This window comes from Homo sapiens, chromosome 9 (genome assembly GCF_000001405.40).
Source record: "Homo sapiens chromosome 9, GRCh38.p14 Primary Assembly".
NCBI classification, from domain to species: Eukaryota; Metazoa; Chordata; class Mammalia; order Primates; family Hominidae; genus Homo; species Homo sapiens.
In genome coordinates this window covers 63,111,546-63,133,592 of record NC_000009.12, presented here as the reverse complement: position 1 = coordinate 63,133,592, position 22,047 = coordinate 63,111,546, and the positions used below count along the sequence as shown (strand labels likewise).

Sequence of the window (22,047 nt, the reverse complement as noted above, 5' to 3'; positions counted from 1 at the left end):
ACAGTGGCCCGAGCTCATGGACAGAAAGGAGACTCAAGTCTGCCTGCTGCCCATCGGCTCTTCAACTCACAGCTGAGTTAATAGGTAACCCAGCAGACTTGCCACACACACCTCCTCTTGCCCGGGGCAGCTGGGACAGCTGGAATTGGAGACACTTGCGAGCCATGGGGACATGGAGAGGAACTGGGGTAGATGGCCAAGCCATGCCCCTTGTAGTTGGGACTGGACCAGTAAAAATGGCACACCAATGAGGCCACTTTGCAGACGGGCAGGTGGGGAGCTGAAAGTGCAATCCACGGTGCCAACAAGCCTCTGGGAAAAAGTAGGGTGGGAGAGAGCAGGCTGGAAAGTAGAGCTCAGTAGTCTATGTCTGTCCATCTGTCTGTCTGCCTATCTGCTAGAGCCAGAACTTTGGGGTCACAGGCCAGGGCCTGGCAACAGTGAGGCACTCTACAAACAGCATGAAGTGTGACAAAGTCTGCTGCCGAGCTCTGTAAACAGCACTGAGCACTGAAACATGCGCCAGGTTCTGTCAAAAATGAAGGGGTCAGCAAAATGCACCAGGCTGTGCAACCAGGTCATTGCAAACAGAGGTTTGTGAGAGAGTGAGTGAATGAATGAATGAATGACCAAGAGAGCGGGAGGGAGAAAAGGAAGGACTGGATCTACTTCCTGGTGTATCTTCAGTGCCCAGCACCATGCCAGGCACATAGTAGATGTGCAATAAGTATTTGTTGAATGGGTGAAAACTGGGGAATCTGTCTTACTCCCAACTAGATCCTCAGAGCTTGCCAAAGGGCCTGGCACTTGATTTATATTTAGTTAATTGCACGGTTAGATGGAAAGGTAGATGAAACAGGTGAGTAACAGGTTCCAAATCTGCGTATAGGGAGAGGTATAGGACTGGAGTTTGGGGAAGGTGGCGGGGTGGGACTGGAGGATAAAGAGGAAGAAGAGGGGCTGGACCCGGTAGCTCACGCCTATAATCCCAGCACTTTGGGAGGCCAAGGTGGGCAGATCACCTGAGGTCGGGAGTTCGAGACCAGCCTGACCAACATAGAGAAACCCTATCTCTACTAAAAAATACAAAATTAGCCAGGCATGGTGGCGCATGCCTGTAATCCCAGCTACTTCGGAGGCTGAGGCAGGAGAATCACTTGAACATGGGAGATGGAGGTTGTGGTGAGCCGAGATCTTGCCACTGCACTCCAGCCTGGGCAACAAGTGTGAGACTCCATCTCAAAAAAAAAAAAAAAAAAAAAAAAAAGAGGAAGAAGAGGGATACAGATACCTCTAAGTGTGGCCTTAGTCACTCTGCTATCTCACTGTCTGCATGCCCGGAAGCTGACACCAGCCCCTCAACTCCTCTGGCCAGCCCATCCTTGCACATCATGTACTGCCTTAGCTGCAGGCCTTTGCACATGCCAGTCCTACACCGAGAATGGTCCCCTGCCTCCCCAGAGGCTCCTTTACCCGCCAGCCTTCTTTTCTTGACCTAAATTTCCCTTTCTCTGGGAGAGCCTCCTACCCTCTCCTCTAGGCCATTCACTTCTTCCACATGCCCCACGGTGCCCACTCTTTCAGCTGGGGCAATGCTCATCACACTGCATAGTAATTGCTCAGTTAGGCCAGGCACAGTGTCTCACGCCTGTAATCCCAGCACTTGCTGAGGCGAGCTGATCGCTTGAGCCCAGGAGTTCAAGACCAGCCTGGGCAGTATGACAAAACCTCATCTCTACAAAAAAAAAAAAATACAAAAATTAGTCAGGTGTTGTGGTGTACGCCTGTGGTCCCAGCTAATGGGGAGGCTGATGTGAGAGGATTGCCTGAGCCCAGAAGGCAGAGGTTGCAGTGAGCTGAGATAACACCACTGCACTCCAGCGTGGGTGACAGAGCGACACCCTGTCTCAAAAAAGAAAAAAAAAAAAAGCTTAATTAATTAACGGTTTTTCTTCCTAAGGGCTGGGATCATACCAGTTTGCTTCACTGCAGTGCCTGAACATAGTAGGCATAGTAGATTCAATAAATCTTTGGTTCCTTGGCTGGTTGTTGCCTGCTCTGTGCTGATGAGAAAGGAGCCAGGCTTCCAGGATTCCCTTGGTGTTCTTGGCTCCCTGCTCTGTCTAACTCTCCCCTGCCTCTATGGTACCTTCCCAGGACTGTCTTTGGGCTGCTGCTTGCATTGGTAGGGTCTCTTCTTCAGGGCTGAGGAGGCTGGTCATGGGATAATGAGACCCCTATACGATGCTGCATGGGAGCTGGAGTTGGATGGGGGCCAGTGGAATATCCGCGCAACTCTGCATCCCCCTCCATCTACTCATCCCTGGTTTTGTTTCTCTGGAGTAAGGAATAGAGCAAGGACTGGGATGGGTGAGCTATGAACAGAGGGTCTCAGCTGAAAAGTGGAAGATGTTTTATTCCATGCCTGGACGTCTCTCATTCCCTCTGCTTACTTTTTGCTGCTGTGAGGTCAGGGGAATTTAGGAGCCCTGAGGAATGCTGCTGCTCTCCCTAGCAGGGCGAGGTGACCCTCCACTGGCTCCCATCCAACCCCACCTCCCATGCTGGAGGTAACCACAGAAGAGGAGAGAGAAGTGGACAGAGCGGAAAGACAAGAACACCAAGAGAATCCTGGAAGCCTGGCTCCTTCCTCATCACCACACAGCAGGCAAGACACAGTAAGCAACAGATAACCACCAACCAGCCAATGAACTCAAGATTTCTTGAATCTACTGTGCCTAGAATGTTCAGTCACTGCAGTAAAGGACACTGGTACAATCCAGCCTGTGGGAAGAAAAGCAATCAATTGAGCAATTACTATGCAGTGTGATGAGCATTGCCCCAGCTGAAAGAGTGGGCACTGTGGGGCATGTGGAGGAAGTGAATGGCCTAGAGGAGGGGGTAGAAGGCTCCCAGAGAAAGGGAAATTCAGGTCAAGAAAAGAAGGCTGGAGGGTAAAGGAGCCTCCAGGGAGGCAGGGATCACTCTGGGCGTAGGACTGGCATGTGCAAAGGCCTGCAGCTAAGGCAGTATCCAATGTGCAGGAATGGGCTGGCCACGGAGGAGTGGAGGTGGCATGAGATGGGCAGAGAGGGGCCAGGGCCAGGTGGCAGAAGGCCTCATGGCCCACATTAGGGAGTCTGAACTCTACCAGAGGGCCATGGGCCAAGTGGAGGGTTTCAGCAGGAGAGCTGCCTCCCCTGTGGAGGCCAGGATGGAGGAAGTGGAGTGGAGGCAGGGTGAGCATCAGCTTCTCCACAGATGGGTGGAGAAGTGGTGGCAGCCTGAGCCACAAGGATGGCAGTGCCAATGGCCACAAGAGCACAGTCAAGCTGACAGGCTTGGTGTTCAGTTAGAGAGGGAAGGGAGCGGGGCAGCTCAGCGATGCCCTCAGGTCCTGGCTAGGGCAGCAGAATGACTAGCGTGGGGCACAGCAGAGAAGCTGTGGAAGAATGGACAAGGAGGCCCTTTCTGGACATGTTGAGTGTGAGGAGCCCGCTAGACACTTGGGTGGGATGGCCAGTGAGGAGGCAGCTGGTCATGTGGTCTCACTTACAGACACATTTGGAGGACAGCAAATCACAGATGGTCATCTGAGCCATGGGCATAGATGAGAGAGCTCAAGGAGAGGGTACAGACTAAGAGGGGCCCAAGAAAGCCAGCCTACAAAGCAAGAAACTGACAGCCAACCAGATCCCCTAAGTAATCTGTTAACCAAGGAACTAAATAGCTAACAACTCACTAACGCCTGTTTCTTTTCTTTTTCTTTTTCTTTTTTTTTTTGAGACAGGGTCTCACTCTGTCACCCAGGCTGAAGTGCAGTGGCACAGTCACAGCTCACTGAAGCCTAGACTTCCCAGGGTTCAAGTGATCCTCCCACCTCAGCCTCCCAAGTAGTTGGGACTACAGGAGCATGCCACCATGACCGGCTATTTTTTCCTATTTTTTGTAGAGATGGGGTTTTGCCATGTTACCAAAGCTGGTCCCAAACTCCTGGACTCAAGCAATCCTCCAGCCTCAGCCTCCCAAGGTGCAGGGATTTCAGGCATGAGCCAACATGCCCGGTGGCTTATTAACCCTTTGACTAACCTATCAAAAACCAACTAACTGATTCTCCTGTTAACCAGCTATTAACTCATTGAATTATCTAATCAACCAGTCAACCATAAACTATCCAACTAACCACGAGCCAACAATTCAACCTGCTAACCAACATTTCTTCATTCAACAAACATTTGTTGGCCAGGCATGGTGACTCATGCCTGTAATCCCAACACTTCAGGAGGCCGAGGCAGGTGGATCACTTGAGGTCAGGAGTTCAAGACCAGCCTGGCCAACATGGCAGAACCCCATTTCCACTAAAAATAAAAAAAAAATTAGCTGGGCGTGGTGGCAGGCACCTGTAATCCCAGCTGGGGTGGGGGCTGAGATGTGAGAATCGCTTGAGCCCAAGAAGCAGAAGTTGCAGTGAGCCGAGATCATGCCACTGCACTCCAGCATGGGCAACAGAACAAGACTCCATCTCAAAAAAAGAAAAAATTTTTGTTGAGCACCTACTTATGAGTCAAGCACCAGGGATACAAAGTCAAAACCCACTCTCCACTCTTGGGTCACTCTGTTTAATAGAAGAGATGGGTAATGGCAACACCACCAGAGAGAAGCAGCCTGGGACTGGGGGAACTCAGGGGAGGCATGGGAGGTGAGGCCTGAAGGGAGTTTTGAAGAATGGGCGGGTGGTGGCCTGACATGGCCATGGGGGAGTAGGGTGGTGGTAGAAAGAATGGTGGAAGCTGTGCACATTCTAGATATTTTAGGAGATTGGTGACTGGATGTGAGGCATGGGGAAGAGGGAAGTATCAAGGACATGACCTTGACTTCTGGCTTGAGCAACTGAAGAGAAGGGGACCCCTGACTGAGCCAAGAGCACAGGAGGAGTGGACTTGTGGGGGGCGGAGGAGGCTGTTTCCATCTAGGAGCTGAGTTGCCTGTGAGACACCAGTGGGTCTCTAGAAACAGGATCTAAAGCCCTGGAAAGAGACGTAGGCTAGAGGCAATGATGTCAACAGAGGGGCACTATTCATTCTCTCCGTGCAAGTGTACAACAGGCAAATATCCCTGCTTGCGTGGAGCTGACAGCAATGAAATGTAATAAGTAAGTACATTTGTATAAGCGAAGGTACCAGCTCCTATGGGAAAAAACAGAGCAAGGAGAGGGGAATTGGGAGTGCAGGGGCTGGAGATGGGGTGTGATTTCAAATAGGGCAGTCAGAGTAATCCTTGTTGAGAAGGTGGCCTTGGAGCAAAGCCATGAAGGAGATGAGAGTGGGCTGTATGTTAACTGCAGAAAGCCTCTCAGATGGAGGGAATAGTCACCAGAGGACTCTCAGCATGTTTGAAGAAAGCAAAGAAAGTCAGTGTGAGGCCAGGTGCAGTGGCTCACACCTGTAATCCCAACCTTTTGGGAGGCCGAGGCGGGTGGATCACCTGAGGTCAGGAGTTCAAGAACAGCCTGGCGAACATGGCGAAACCCCATTTCTACTAAAAATACAAAAAAAAAAAAAAAAAAAAAAAAACAAAAAAAAAACAACTAATTAGCTGGGCATGGTAGTGTGTGCCTGTAATCCTGTAATCCCAGCTACTCAGGAGGCTGAGGCAAGAGAATCGCTTGAACCCGGGAGAAGGAGGTTGCAGTGAACCAAGATCTTGCCATTGCACTCCAGCCTGGGCAACAGAACTGGATTCCATCTCAAAAAAAAAAAAAAAAAAAAAAGAAAAAGAAAACCAGAAAAGAAACTCAGTGTGGCTGGAGGAGGGAGAGCAGGGGGCTGGAGTGGGGAGGCCAGAAAGCTAACAAGGACTACATAGGCAGGGCCTTGGCCATTGCAAGGACTGGCTCTTTTTCACCCCAAAGACAGCTGAGCCTGAGAGGGTGAGAGGTGCTGAGTGCAGTTGAGTTGAAGGCCACCTGCATGCCTTGACCCTCATCCAAGTATTTCTGAGCCTCCCCTCACCCCAGGACCCAGCCCAGGCAACAGGTGGAAGATGCTTTTCTTCTGGGACCTCAGAGGCGAGTGGGTGGGTGGGGAGGAGGAGGTCGAGGGGGGACAGCTGCCCCAAGGGAGAGGCTGAGGATGGAGCAGGGAGGGCACTGAAGTGGGCTGGGTGGAGGACAGGGGGCTGGAGGGTGAGAAGAGGGTGGGGTACTTACCGCCTGTGCCCAGATGCTTGAACCATGTTTTGTCCTTCAGATTTGTAGATGCTGAAGAGCCAAAGAGAGGTCACTAGGGCTGGAGGACACAGAACTTGGCCCCACACTTCCATCAGACCTTTGTCCCCAGGGGAGAAGCCCTGGGGCAGCTCCTGCTAGTGCCACTCCCTTAACCCAGCCAAGGAACAGGGAGGGAGGAGCGGTGCTCAGCCAATGAGGCGACGCCCTGGAGCCCCACCCCACCCATGCTGGCCCCAGGACCCCAACCCCAGGCCAGACCCTCCAGTGCTCCTGCTGACCTTCCCTGTCTGCAGCCCAGCTTTGGACTGTGGAGATGCCCTCAGCCTCTACTCAGTGGCTCCAGCCTCATATTTGCGTGCTATACCTTTAACCTCAAGTTCTCTTGCTGCTAACTTAAGCTGTGACTGTCCAGGACCTGCACACACACATATATGCACGCATGCACACACACACACACACACACACACGCAGAAGGTGAACACACAGGATGAGGCCCTGAAAACTCATTTCACCCGTGTACCTCACCCAAAAATTCCCCTTTGTACTCCTATCTTTATCTCTAACAGACAGCATGAAGGTAGCCCGAAGTCCCCTCACCCTGTCTGTCCTCCTGATTCTCTAGCCCAGTTCCCTCTAGCTCCAGCACAGACTCTTATCTCCAGCCCTGACTGCTGAAACCCTCCAGCCCCAGCTCCAGCCCCTCAGGAGGGGACTGCGTGGGAGGAATGACTCCAGCAAGCCGGCAGCTGACCCGTGTCTGGCCTGCATGCCTCCCCCTGTGGTCCACTGCCGGTGGTCTTCAGCTCTCTCCTCGTCCCACCCCCATGGTCTGCTGACAGCCCAGCCCAGTGCATCCCTGCCATCTCTGCTCTACCGCTGGTCCTCCCAACAACCAACTTACAGGTAAGGAAACTGAGGCCCAGAGAGAAGGTGTATGTGCCTGTGTCACACAGCAACACAGGACTGCACCATAACAAGAAAGCCGGGACTTCCACTCCCAGCCGGGGCTCCTTCCCCAAACAATCCCTCAGTCACCTCCTCGCTGTATGGTACCCAGGGAATGACCCTTCCAGATCTGGGCACTGAGGAGGCTGCCCCATCCCCACCCTGCCTGGAGCCCCACTCACTCTGCTGAAATGTCTTCTGATTCTCAGCCTCTGCCTTGGGGGCTTCTCAGTTAAAGCGCATCTTGATCTTGTTCCTCTGTGACTGTCTCTGGCTCAGCTTCCACCCCCAGCTGGGGCTCAGCTATCCCTGTGTCCCCAGTCCAGAGCCTGCCTCTCAGCCCTCCCAAGGCGGCCTTGAGCGCTGCTCCTGCTCCTCCAGGGGAGAGGTCAGTAAGGCAGGGATTTGGCTGGTGCCACTTGAACCAAGTCCAGATGCACTGCCCAAAATAACATCCCTCGTCTGGCCAGCAGTGCAGTGGAGACTGAGTTCTGAAGCAGGCCTTTGTGAGGTCAGAGGTGGAGTTCTGGGTGGGCACTCTGGGCCTCACAGTCCCAGAGGAAAGGCCTGTCCTCCAAGCCAATGTGCAGCCTGACTCTGGGGCCAGCGCCTGAGGAAGCCCTCCCTGAGCCCCAGCCCTGGGGAAGGCTGAAGAGGCCTCTGAGCTCCCAGCGCTGGGGAGCGCTGTGCAGAATAGGACTGGAGGTGGAAGTGTTGGAGATTAACAGCCAGATGGAGGGGACGGGGGGAGGCCCTGGGTCAGTCCTCAGGGAACCCCCATTCTGAAGGGGGAGAGGGAAACTCAGGCCCAGTCCTCAGGGGCCCCCAGTCTGAGAGGAAGGAGGACACACGAGCCATATTTGCAGAGAAACACCAGCCTGCGAGAGGAGGTAGAAGCCCAGGCCTGGCCCTCCGAGGGCCCCTAGTCTGAGGAGCAGTCCACCTGCCCTCGGGAAAACACCTCCCTTAGGAAAGGCCAGCAAGGCCCCCGTAAAGGAGCCACAGCTGGATCGGGGCATGGGGCTCGGGGCCCAGCGGTGTGGGAGCTCCGGGACCGAGGTGCAGTCAGGAGAGACCCTGGGGGCCAGTGGCAGTCCAAGAGGACTTTTGGAGCCAAGGCCTGACTGGGTCTCAAACAATGGGGCAGGCAGTTTGGGGTTTCAGCAGGTGGCCCAGTGCTGAGACACAAGGGAGTTGTTTCTGGTCTGCAGACACTGAGGACACTTGCTATGTGGCGTGGTGGATGGTGGGTAAGTCCTGGGAATTTCTGGCACCAGGTTCCCTGGGTGGGAAGGGGCATAGGATTCAGTTGTCCAAAGCTCAGGTGTGGGAATGGAACTGTCCTGTAGAGGGTGCCAAAGACCAGGTCTGGAAACTGCATAGCCCCAGTCCCCACCCCCACACACACCATCCCACCCCTTCCAGCTTTTTCTGCAGATCTTTCTGCAGGGGTGAGGCAGGGAGAGGAAGGGGTCGGCCGCAGTTCTGGGGCTTCCTAGTCAGAAGCCCTCTGTAAGGCACTAACTTCCCTCTTCCCTCTGCAGATTTTTTTTTTTTTTTTTTTTTTGAGACGGAGTCCTACTCCACCCAGGCTGGAGTGCAGTGGCACAATCTTGTCTCACCACAGTCTCTGCCTCCCAGTTCAAGTGATTCTCCTGCCTCAGCCTCCCAAGTAGCTCGGATTACAGGCATGCACCACCAAGCCCAGCTAGTTTTTTTGGATTTTTAGTAAAGACGGGGTGTCACCATATTGATCAGGCTGGTTTCGAACTCCTGACCTCAGGTAATCCACCCGCCTCGGCCTCCCAAAGTACTGGGATTATAGGTGTGAGCCACTGTGCCCGGCCTCCCTCTGCAGATTCTACATGGGCTCTAGGCAGCCTCTAAATTGCCTGAACACCTAAGGCTTATTTGCTAGTTGACATCCGATCTATTCTGACACTGAAAATTTCAGTGCTTTAGGGTGCTAAAAGGAAAAAAGAGGGTTTGCAAGGAATCCTGCAGTTGCTGAGGGGGTACCCTGATAAGGGAATTTTAAGCAATTACAGTAAGTGTCACTAAACTTTTAAAAAAATCTTTAACCAGATTAAACTTACACAATTTTGTTATAATTTGTGTTTCTGCAGCTTCCAATTGTGGACAAGATAAGGACCATTGCCCAGGCTGTCTATGGAGCCAAAGATATCGAACTCTGTCCTGAGGCACAAGTCAAAATAGATCGTTACACTCAGCAGGTAAAAGTTGTACTTTTAGGGGAAAAGAAAAAATTCACCTTAGGCTCTCAGAATACTCAGCTTGACTTGAGGATTTGTACATGTCTCACCAGCTAACCTTTGCTTAATCTATTTTCTGGTTAACAAAGATGAAAGCAATATCCTCGGGTAGAGTGTAAACTATATTTAGAACTTTATGGTGAGGCATGTATCCTCTGATCCATGCATCATTTACTTCTGTGACTATAAATGTGTCTGATATGGGTGGTATCCCTGTTTGTAGGTGATGTGTGATCTTTCATCCCTCCCACTCAGCCCAGAACGTTGAAACTATCCTTTGGAGTAGAGCTGCGGAGTCAGATTTGCATGAATTGCAATGCTTCCTCTTCCTTACAGGCCTCTTACTACCTTAAAAATGCTAGCAAGGTGCCAGGGTAGGCAGATAGGAGTGCAGCCTATAAAGATGGGAATGTTTGCTGTTCTTATGCAAGCGGTTCATTGGCTTTTTACTGAGCTGGTCCACTGAGGTTGAAGGCTCCATCATCTTCTACCTCTAGCCACTGAGAAAGGCAAGTAGGCAAACAGCTGGGAAGGTGGCTACGATCTGACAGCATGTGTCATCACCTAGTCCAGTGACAGTCATGATGAATCAACTCCATTATAGGAGGCTCAGCCACCTTTTACCAAAAGGATCATGTGCCTCCAGTGTCCCTCCTACTTTGGTGTAATCAGATAGATAGAAGTCAGAACATTTTAAGAGCCTGTTGGCTAAAGAGCTTCATGATTGGTAGTGTTGACCTTATCTTTAAAAACAATCTCCAACTCCTTATTCTTTTTTGTAAACCCATTTGAAATTTTGTTAAATGTTACCATTGCCAGCCAGGGTATTTGTTCTCCTAGGTTTGGTAAAATAGGAACTCAGAAAGTTCTAAATTCTTAGAATTTTCCCTGATGTTCTTGGCTTACCCTTTACAAAAAGGATTCCCAAGCACTGCTCTGTGCCTAGGCATTGTGGTGAAGTTTTCATTCATGTGCAATGAACCAAGTAAAATAAGGTCATTCTCATGAGGTTGCTTTGTTTTTTATTCCCCGAGTTTTTAATAATGATATTTAAGACTATCATTTATTGTAATATTAAGTCTTTTCTCCTTTCAGTGTTAAAATGTTATTTCTTTTATGAAGTAATCTGGTGACAGTATATAGCATACTGGTTGGTTTCTGTTTCTTTTTAATATGCCTACTAACAAAATTTTTACATTAGCAAACCTATAGAAATTACTTTAATATTTAACCATGTCTGAAATTCAAAATTCTGGCACCATTCTGAAAGGCAGTTGTGATTCTCACTCAGCAAAATTCTTATCAGTATAGAAGAGTGGAGATTTCAAAAAGAAAATGGCCCCAAGCCCAAGTCCTCCCTAAGTTGATAAGACTCTAAGATCTTCCAAATAGTTTTAGGCTAAGTCTTATGAAAATTTGACTAAAGATTTCATTCCCTTTATCTCTATCAAGGAAATACTCCTTAAAAGTCGTGTCAACCAGGCACGGTGCTCACACCTGTAATCCCAGCACTTTGTGGGGGCAAGGCAGAGGATCAGTTGAAGCCAGGAGTTGAGACCACTCTGAGCAACATAGCAAAACCTCCATCTCTATTTTTATTTTTTTTAAAGTTAGTGCCAAGTATGTGGTTGCAATGAATTAGCAAAGCCTCTGAAGGAACACTGTGTGCCATTTAATCAGAAACAGGCTTATAGGACACTGTGCTTTTTGTGAGACACCACATGTGACTTCCTGCTCTTTCACCTTTGGAACTCTGGGTCAGACATAGACTTTTGTCCTTAAAAACAAGAAGCTTAAATAGTGACCTCATCTTAGCTCTTGTAATGTAGTTGCAGATCAAATAACCATGATTCATAAACCAACACAAAGGAACCCTTTGCTTCTTGACTGACTCCAGAATGAGTGAACAACATGACTAAGAGCCTAGTCGCAGAGCCTTTCTCCAGACTACCTTGCTGGGTCCCGGATATTAATAGTCTTGGAAAGCGGTTTCTACAGCTGCTGCTTTGCCTGCAAATAGCAATGCTTTTCCCAAACATGCACATAACACTGCCTTCTCTTAACGAGAACCTCCAAAATAAACAATAGTCACCCCTGACCTACTAAACAGTCATCACATGGAGATGAGTTTTTATCCTCACCTTCTTGCTTCTTCAGTGAACAAGTAGTAACAAGCAGCTCCTGCGTGTGCCTCGATCTGAGCTGGCATACCATTGCTGCCGAGACTGTATAAAGTGCAAATTGAAAAACACAGGAGACTCACGTCTATATCAGTGAACACATTTTCTTTCCTTTCTTACAGGGTTTTGGAAATTTGCCCATCTGCATGGCAAAGACCGATCTTTCTCTGTCTCACCAACCTGACAAAAAAGGTGTGCCAAGGGACTTCATCTTACCTATCAGTGATGTCCGGGCCAGCATAGGTGCTGGGTTCATTTACCCTTTGGTCGGAACGGTGAGTGAGTCACATTTTCCAAAATCCCTCCCCATTCTGCATTGTCGCAGTGCCTCAAATCGTTATGCTCCACCCGCTCTTTAAAAATCATGGATTAGGGAGAATTGGGAGTAATTAATAGTACAGTATTCGCTATTTTTCTAAACACTCTGTCTCACCTACCTTTGCCATTGTGCTTTGGGTTTTTCTTTTTTTAGATCATGTGTTCAGGATCCTTAGAGTCATAATACTAATTTCCTTCCTAAGGCAAGTAAGAACATAACTTGGGAGAATTCAGTCTATTTAAATGGTAGAATGGCTTAGGACAGTGGTTGTCAACCTTTATCACACATAGCACCCAAAATGATGTAATCAGTAGGGTTGAATGCTCACACCAGACAGGATCTGCCCAGTCACCCTAAGGGCTGGGGAAAGCAGTCCTCACCCTCTCACTTCCCCAGCACATCAGGTGGGAAGTTCTGGCTTAGGAAATTACTGAATCATATGAATTCTCATTTTTGATGTTGTTGTGATGGGATTATGTTGCTATTGGTTGATTATTCTGTTATTTTGTGTTATCTATGGAGGTAAACGAGATGAGCAGAGATATAAAAGCTTATCAAAGTGCTTAAAATCCATGAAGATTGGCTTCATTTGGTATAGCTACACAGTGATAGCCTTCCGTTGGTACCATCAGTGGCCTAAATTTGATTTCTTGTCTTTGGGAGTGCTCCTGAATTTGGTTTAGAATAAAAAAGAATTCTTAAAACCTGGCAGATCCCATGGCAAGAAAAGAAAAAAAATTCTAACCCATCATTATCATCATCATTAGTGCAAAGTGATCTGAGCTTAAACAGCATACATTATAATAATTTTTTATAATAAACCATGTGGCTCTATTGTGCAAACAAGCAATAGACAGACAAAAAGTGCAGATTCTTGCCTTGATATTTACAAGCTTCATCTAATATTGGACACAATGTTTTTTCAATCAGCATCATTTGAATTCTTCCTGCATGTGAGGCACAGAGATTTTAAGATGAGCAGGTGTGAGATGCATGGATTTGAATAGCATAGAGGTATCTGGAGAGCATTGTGTTGGTATTCTGAATGCCCTCAGATCCCAGGGGGATAACAGCTCATTATGCCTGGGGTAGAACTTACCTGGGCTGTGGAAGAAGAGGGGATTCTTCAAAAAGGGCTCAACCTCTGAACTGGCAAAACAGTGAGTTTTGACTCAAAGGCACCAGAGTACTAATACATGACATCCTCTCCTGGGGTGATCCAATGTGGCTGGAGTTGGATGAGGTGGGGAGGCTGGGGATGGGAATGGGAATGGGATTGGGATAGCAGGACGGGGTCACATGGCCAAGGATCTTGAAGACCATCTCACGGAACTTGAATCTGATCTCTACACACTGAGGAGCCACGGTAGGGTGGGTTTTTTGTTTGTTTCTTGGTTTTTTATTTTTTTGATTTTTTGTTTTTAAAGAAGGAGGAGAAGAATGTGGTCTGATGTGTATTTTAGAAAAATAGCTCTGGCAGCAATGTGGAGAATGTTTAGTGAAAAGAGAACCAGGCCCAGAGAGGTGGGTTAATTCAGCTGGGGCCAGAGGAAATCAAGGTCCGCACTTTGGCCACAGAAGTAGATACAGAGAGTGGGGGTGAATTGCAGACATACTCTAAAAGTATCCTCCTACAGTAGGGGCCGGGTGAAGGGACTGTTCTAGCTTGGTGACTGGCTGGTGATGCCATCACCGTGTCATGGAAAGGACACGGGAGGAGGCAGATTGGCCAAGCCAGAAATGAGCCTGGCTTGAAGAGAGAGAGCTCAGAGGGTTAATAGGATCTAAGGAACAGTCTGTGTCTCCACTGGAAATACAGATACAGCTCTCCAAAGAAAGGGGCAGGAAGGTCGCCCTGGTGGGTTTAAGGATATGGGTGAAGGCACTCATTAAACAAGAGACACAGGGATAGCTGGAAATCAGTGAGAAGAGAGTAAAGGAAGACACCCCTGAAACACCCACTTTAATGCAGCCGACTCCTGGCAGGGGTGCCTTCCAGAAGGCAGGAAGGAAGGAGCAGGGGCATGGCAGAGAACGTCCAGAAAAATCCCACAGACACCGCTCACAGCAATGTTGACACAGAGAGAAGGGTCCAGATGAAATGGGTTCTGAATGACATTTTCAGGTCTACAGTTCAGATCAGCAGTTGCCAGGAGTTGGGGGAGGGAAGTGTTTGACTGCAGAGGGGCAGGAGGGAACTTTTTGGGATAATGGAAATATCCTATGTTTTGACATGGTAGTGATTCCATGGCTATATACATTCTTCCAGACTCATAGACCTATACACGTGTGTTGCCCAGGCTGGACTCAAACTCCTGATCTCAAGCAATCCTCCCACCTCAGCTTCCCAAGTTGCTGTGACTATAGGTTCGTGCCACTGTGCTGGGCCTGTGTATCATTTAGTTATACCTCAGTTAACAAAAATGGGTACTGAAGAGCTTGCTGTATATTCCTTAGAATGGCCTCAGTCAGCCGGGTGCAGTGGCTCATGCCTGTAATCCCAGCACTTTGGGAGGCCAAGGTGGGGGGATCACAAGGTCAGGAGTTTGAGACCTGCCTGGCCAAAAGGGTGAAACCCCATCTCTACTAAAAATACAAAAATTTGCTGGGCATGGTGGCGGACACCTATAATCCCAGCTACTTGGGAGGCTGAGGCAGGAGAATTGCTTGAACCTGGGAGGCAGAGGTTGCAGTAAGCCAAGACTGCACCATTGTGCTTCAGCCCGGGTGACAGAGCAAGACTCCATCTCTAAATACATACATACATACATACATAGAATGGCCTCAGTGATGGCCACTTTACTCCTGAGCTTTAGTTGGCAAAGGCCTTGGCTTAGGGATAAGAGGGTGGCTGGACAGTGCAGGCCCAGAGAGACTGGACCATCAGGGGAAGTGAGGGGTGATGGAGGTGCCCAAACAGAGCATGAAATGGTAGAGTAGATGAGAAGGTTAGCCTCTATCACGATCTGTCCTGTCCTACCCTCTGCGGACTCTAAACCCCGCAGCAGTTCACCCAACAAATTCATTCACTCGGCCAATGCTGCATAAGACACTCAGCTCGGGGCTACAGGAAGCCCCAACCTAAAGAAACTTTCTCTGCTTCAGGTAGTTTACAGCTGGTAGACGCAGATAGAAGTGAATTAGCAAAGAAAATAGTTTGATATAAAAATTGTGCATTTAACTGCAACCTTAATTCACTTCTGAGCATTTAATAGCCATTAAACAAAAACCAGGGCCCACACAGTGGTTCACACTTACAATCCAAGCACTTTTGGAAGCCAAGGTAGAAGGATTGCTTCAGGCCAGGAGTTCAAGACCAGCCTGGGCAACATAGCCAGACTGTATCTCTACTTAAACCAAAATTAGCCAGGAGTCATGGTACACACCTGGAGTCCCAGCTACTCAGGAGGCTGAAATGGGAGGATTACTTGAGCCCAGGAGTTTGAGGCTACACTGACCTATGATCATATCATTGCACTCCAGCCTGGGAGATAGAGTGAGACCTCTGTCTCTAAAAAAATGGAATAAAATAATAAAAAACACAATATAATTTAAAATCTTTGGAGTCACTAAACAAATATACAATGTGAATCTCCTCCCACTCCAGCTAACACTACCATATCCAACACCAGGTAAAGACCAAAGCCGTTCTGGGAAATCAGAATCTGTTGCCATGGCTCATGCCTGGACACCAGGCTGTCCGCTCCTGATGTCACTCTTTGACTTATGACTTGTTAGAAAATGAATGCGTGGAATGGCCCTGGAGGAGCCGCTGCAGCTCTCTGGGTTTCCTGAAGTGAGCCCTCTGTGTCATTATCTGGTCTTCTCAGCCCTCAGCCGAGTTCCTCCTGTGGCCACATGTGGGGTCGCAGTGAGCATCAGTGCACAGTGATAAAATCTGGAACAACAGGGTGTTGGGTGTGAGGGAAGGGAGTGGTGCCTGACTACAGAAGTTCCTGGAGGTCAGGAAACTCTCACTGGAGGCAGTGGCCCTAGAGGGCTGCTTTCTATGACAGAGCAGGAAGCTGCATGTGTACTGGGACACATGCAGCAGAGGGGCCAGGATCTCCTAATAAGGACTGGTATTTACTTTTACTTGAACCCATTCTGGGCCTTACCACAGTGTGCTGAAATGCCTTGAACATTCATCACCCATGTGGGAGAAAGGATAGTAATTTCCTGCTGAGATGACTGAGGGGACAGGGAATGGGGACACCAGGGGGACTGGCTCCTGCAGGTTGGAAAATTCTAGCAAAACGAATCACTCTTCTGCTTAGTCACCCAATGTGCGCTTATTAGAGTGCTGCTGAAAAACATATTCGTCTATCCATTCCAGAAAGATAGTCCAAACTGAGACCTCAAGATCAGAAAGGCTCCCAATCTCCTGCAGGGTTCATTCACTTACTCAGTGAATTATTAAATGCCTACAGCACGCAGGGCCATCAGCCCAACGGCTATGAGAAAGAGATTCAGTCCTTTCCTCACAGGCCTTATGATAGACTCCAGTAAATAAAACAATACAGGCACAGAATGTGGCAGGCTTTATAAGAAAGCCTCTCTTTTTGTGTCCTCAAGGGAAGCAGAGAATCTCCCCTCTGGCTCTAGTTGGAGAATCCCAACCCAAGCAAGTCCATCTTTGAACAATAAACATCTCCAGTACTGCTGGCTTTGGAAGACCCCATGGTGAGATGCTGGAGCTTTTTTCCACTCCTGATTTCACTTTCTAAATATTTACTTTTACTTTCCATGTTCACTTGTAGGCCAGATTTTTTTTTCCTACCATTGAATTATTTCATCATGTTCTATTTAATTATTGTTTTAATTGGCATTGGTGACCACAAATAATAATAAATACTATTAACTGATGTAACAGCTTCACTAGTCTATTTAACTTCCCCATGCTGTTGTAACTGAAGCACCCAGCACAAGCATTCCCAGCTCGTGGACGTCTAAGACCTTTGAGGTCATTCTTACATGCATTGCTAGTGTTTTCCATATTCCTTGATGGTAACCAATTTTTCCTTCCTAAAATAACTTTCTTCATTCCTAGTAAGCTTCATATGTATTTTGTGTATTCTTCCCTCTTTTTTATGACATTATACATATTATTGAAAGCTAGAAAATAATACAAGATGCTTGACTGACATAATACCACTTAGTACATCTTTTTGTAAGAAATAGATTTTCTAATACAAATCTTTGATATAGGAAGAAATGAGCAAGTGTTTTTTAAGGTTTTCCAACCCTATATTCTACTACAAATTACCCTGTTATCGTATGCTTCCAAAATTCTTTCAAGGATTACAGTTTATAGTGTTCAATAAACCTAATAGTTTATAAAACTTCTCAAAAAATAATCTCATGCCAAAAATAATTTAGTAGTAGGTGGTCTTTGTCTTGTGGTCACATTGTTTTGATATTGTCTTTAAGTTTCTGTAATTTACAAGGGCTGTTTAATCAGTTGGCATAAATTTCATGACAAAAATGCTAATATGTAAGCAAAGAATATGAAATGATATTTTTGAGAAGTAAATTACATTCCATATAGAAAAAGACTAGAAAGACTACACCAAAACCTTAAATTAGACAGTGATATTATGAGTAGCTTTTTTTCTTCTCTTTTTTGTATAGATCAAATTACTACGTTGGGTGTATATCACTTTTATAACATGAAAATACAGTAAATAGGGCGATGATAAACTGCAAGTGCTTGGGGAGAAGGCTTAACTCAGGCCAGTTGCAAGAGAGTGAGAACACACACGCAGCCTGTGGGAGCGGGCTCCGTGCCATCACCTGGCCGGTCCTGGCTGTGTTGCTGTGTTTTCGCACCTCAAAAGTTGGGACAGCAAGGAAAGGCCATAAGAGCTAGAATGTTTCTATAAGAAGTGTATTCAGTATGATTTGTCTAGCTCTGACTAATGTGTGCAAACCCCAGATTCCACTAAGCAAATGCAAGATTGTTTTTCCCTGTTAATTTTTTCCTGGGCCCTTCTTGCTTACTGTGTTGGGCATTGGAGAGGGGGTGATTGACTTCTTTCTTCTCACAGTGTTTTCTCTCGCTCTCTTTTTTTTTTTTTTTTTTTGAGACAGAGTATTGCTCTGTCACCCAGGCTGGAGTGCAGTAGCATGATCTCGGCTCACTGCAACCTCCACCTTCCAGGTTCAAGTGATACTCCTACCTCAGCCTCCCAAGTAGCGTGGACTACAAGTGCATGCCACCACATCTGGCTCAATTTTTATATTTTTCATAGAGACTGGGGTCTCACCATATTGGCCGGGCTGTTCTCAAACTCCTGACCTCAAGTAAGCCACCACGCCCAGCCATCTCTCACAGTGTTTTTTAAAACAACAATGCATTTTCACAACAGTTGGCCTGGAGAGGTGTCCAACCAAGTTGGAATTCATAGCAGATATCCATTTGAAGTTAATTTTTGGTGTATTTGACTGTTTTCCATTGACTTCACATTGAGGCAGTGAGAGAGACTTGAAGAACTTAGAATATGAACCCTTTTCTCACTGGCAAACATGGGACATAGAGGCATGTCTTGACAGCAATTTATGGCAACACTCTGGGCTGGAATCTAGGGGTTAGGCAGCCTGGCCGGTTTTGTAAATTAGGCCACCCTCAGAGTCAGTTTGAGGGTTTAGTGGGAAGCCTGAATAAAAAGAGAAGTTAAACTTTTAAGAAAAGGGTCAAGCTTTAAAACTGGAATTGGCTTTTCAAATTTAATGAGTAAAAAGAAACCCCAAAACTGGAATTGTAATTGTGGAGAAGTACAAATTATAATATTTGGAATATCATCTACAAGGAATGAAACTATCCAGAAGCATTTAGATGGTAGTCATTGATTGTAGGGCATCTCTGGGGGCAGGGTGGCTCCTGGCACTGTAGAGAAAGACCATCGGTGCTTCCGTCTCCCAGTTGGAGGAAAGGGATACACTGTGGAGGTCCCAGCAGCTTAGGGCCTGCCCCCATGTGGTTATGTCTGCATGGTTTCCTTCCCTCTGTCTTCCTGTAACTCTTTCACCCTGGCCCCTGTGCCCTTTCTGGGCAGAGGGTGACAGGAGGCACTGCATGGGTGCATTCTTTTTTTTTTTTTTTTTTTTTTTGAGACAGAGTCTTACTCTGTTGCCTGGGCTGGAGTGCAGTGGTGTGATCTCGGCTCACTGCAACCTCCATCTCCCAGGTTCAAGCGATTCTCCTGCCTCAGCTTCCCGAGTAGCTGGGATTACAGGTGGCCACCACTACGCCCAGCTAATTTTTTCCAATTTTAGTAGAGACGGGGTTTCACCACATTGTTCAGGCTGGTCTCAAACTCCTGACCTCGTGATTCACCCGCCTCAACCTCCCAACGTGCTGGGATTACAGGTGTGAGCCACCGCCCCCGGCCAAGTACATGCTTTTTTTCCTCTTGTTGGGATTGGCCTGGGCTATACCTATCTCATGGTGGAAGCCTGCCTAGGGACCAGGCCCTAGAAGACCAGCAGTTTATTTAACTGGGTTGGCCTTTGTCCCCACTCCCTGTGACCCGGCCCTGCCATATCTTTACCCAGGTGCACCACTGACATCATGGCTCGGCTGGACTCTGGAAAGCAGGAAATTGCTGGAGCATGTTTGGGCATCAATGATGTCATCCGCTACGAATGCCGGGTGGGGTTACTGGACTGAGGGCCATGAAAAAAGAAAGCTGCGGCCCTGCCCCGTGGACTCACTGCCATTCTGTTCTTTCTCACGTTTCAGTTCAGCTCACTTTGTTTTCCGTCCCCCTCCCTCTACTGTAAAAGTATGTACTCAGTGTTTCATTTCCTGCTGGATCTGATTCAGGTCAGTGATGAAGTTCTTTGCGAGCTCAGTGGGGAGGCGTTTCCTCCCTTTCATACCGGCCCTGCTTAGGGATGCATGGTTGGTTATATACTTGCTTCACTCGGTTAGGCATGGAGGAGAATTCATTCAGACCTCATAGGTTTAAATCAAATGCATGACCCTTCACATTTTCCAGAGATTTAGACAGTTACAGTGAGACAATTAAACATTCACCCCCCAAGCTGCACTTGGAGATGTGTAAGCAGTAATGTAGTCATGCGCTCCCCATGATATGAGAGTGTGCAGAATGCCACTCCCCACAGCAGGTCCACCAGGACCTCCTCAGGGAGCATCTTGCCTACAAAATCACCCATCCCTTTTCCCCCACTTTCTTCACTTTCCCTACGTTTCCACTCCCACACCCACAAATAAACAAAGAAACTTTGAGCTTATTTTACAAAAGTCTTTGAAATGGCCCTCCTCTCTCCGATGCTCCTGGGCCCTGGTTTGGCCCCATCTGTGCAGTCTCTCTGATGAGTGTGAAATAAGCCAGGTTTGGCTCATGCTCTCCCTGTGAGCTTGCTCTCCCCGTGAGCCTGCCCTCTCCATCTGGCCTCACTTTGTTTGTGTCCCTGGGTCCTTTGTCTCTGATCCTGGGATCCTGGTGGTTTCCTCCTCCCCGCCCAGCTTGGGTCCTTTTCCCCAGGGTTCTTCCCTATCTCTACATCAGAATTTCCTGCTTTCTCCCAAATATGCATTTCCCTGGCCCAGGCATCCATTGCTTCCTCTCATCGTGAGGTCCCTGCAGCAGACTGCCAATGGTGTTGTGGCCATGCCTTCCTCCACAACCCAGGGAAAGCTACATGTGTGTCTGTCCCATAGGGAAGGAGTCATCCCTGTCTCTTCAGTGTGGCATGTTCAGGAGGAAGGAAAGTAACCAGCGTCATTCTCAATTTACGGAAACTGTTTATCATATTGACAAGAAGAAGAAAGCTTTGCGACTCATGAGAATGATGTTTTCTTCTCTGGTACATAAGGTTATGTAGGTCCAATCCATTGTGTAGAAGATCTTTTCTCCCTTAATGGGATGTACACTTATTTTTAGCACAAGTATAAAACTACTTTAAATGAAGTCAGCCTCAGCCAGGGAAATATGCTGAGTAATAATGTTGCCAGGTACTATACCACTGAGTTGAGTTTGCAATTCACTGCTATTAATCCCTGCATGTTAGTTCTGAATTTTTACTCTTTGCATACGTAGAAAAAATGGTGTTTCTCTTCAGAGTCAAGGAGGGAAAAAAGAAAAGTTAAAAGACACTTATAACACTTTTGTGTCCACCCCTAAAATCAGCATATTGATCTACTATTTTTCTAGGTATTGATGGAATATTGACTCATATACTTTCATACAACTGCTAATATATATATATATATAGACTCATTTTTCTTCTTCCACTTTCATCTACAGCCTATTTGTTTTTCTCCCCCCATTTTTCGTTTGGATTCATAGCATAAATTGACAACAAAGATACATCTCAATTTAGAGCTTCCAAAAGGCACCCATAAAAGTATCTGGTGCTCATGGAATTTCTCTTTCTTCTGTGTCTCTTAGTTACACTTTTCTCTTATTACACTTTTCTATCCAGCCGCGGCTAAGAGGCATATAATCAGAAGCAGCTAAGCAATGTATGCAAGGGAAATAAAATGAACACAAACCAAGATAACCGGTTTTGTAAATTAGATAGCAAGGCCACCCTCAGAGTCAGTTTGAGGGTTTCGTGGGAAGCCTAAGAAATATAACTGATATAACTGATATATTATCAGTTATAAAAAAAGTTATAAGAAAAGGGTCAAGCTTTAAAACTGGAATTGGCTTTTCAAATTTAATGAGCAAAAAGAAACCCCAAAACTGGAATTGTAATTGTGGAGAAATAGAACTGATAATATCTGGAACTTGCAGCAGTTTACAGGCTTAACTATGTATGTGTTCCTTAAATTATCCACCCGCAGATATCAGATTACAATAAGTCCTCACTTAATGTCATTGATAGGTTCTTGGAAACTACCACTTTAAGCAAAAGGACATAATGCATACGAAACCAGTTTTCCCATAGTCTAATTGATAGGAAAAAGAGTTGAGTTATGAAGCCACACAGTACCTCGTTTGGCTTAAAGTCACTGTTTCCAAGAACATATCCACAATGTTAAGTAAGGACTTACTGTAAATGAAAATATTTGCAGTAAATCGCTTTTGAGAGAATTGGTTATCACACTCTTCTCTGGGTATCACTGAAAAT

At 47.3% G+C, this 22,047-nt stretch overlaps 1 long non-coding RNA gene and 1 pseudogene across 7 annotated transcripts in view; one reads left to right on the top strand and one right to left on the bottom strand.

Annotated features, from left to right (window-relative positions):
- The window catches only part of LOC105379814 (uncharacterized), a 35,297-nt gene extending 27,615 nt beyond the window's left edge, over positions 1-7,682 (bottom strand). For 2 of the 6 annotated variants that reach the window (XR_001746478.3, XR_001746481.3), the window contains exons 1-2: positions 7,357-7,682; positions 6,209-6,259 (exon numbers count right to left, since the gene is read on the bottom strand). This is a non-coding gene — a long non-coding RNA (uncharacterized LOC105379814). Of the gene's footprint in view, positions 1-19; positions 140-2,701; positions 2,785-4,486; positions 5,187-5,509; positions 5,539-6,208; positions 6,260-7,356 lie in introns of those variants that run through there. The other 4 variants (XR_007061524.1, XR_001746483.2, XR_001746482.2 and 1 more) reach the window with 4 other exon arrangements.
- Positions 6,493-21,190, top strand: LOC286297 (methylenetetrahydrofolate dehydrogenase (NADP+ dependent) 1 like pseudogene; annotated as a pseudogene). Its single transcript, NR_046175.1, has 4 exons — positions 6,493-7,132; positions 9,301-9,408; positions 11,750-11,902; positions 19,501-21,190. The product of NR_046175.1 is annotated as a methylenetetrahydrofolate dehydrogenase (NADP+ dependent) 1 like pseudogene (transcript).
- Positions 21,191-22,047: the final 857 nt, after the last annotated feature.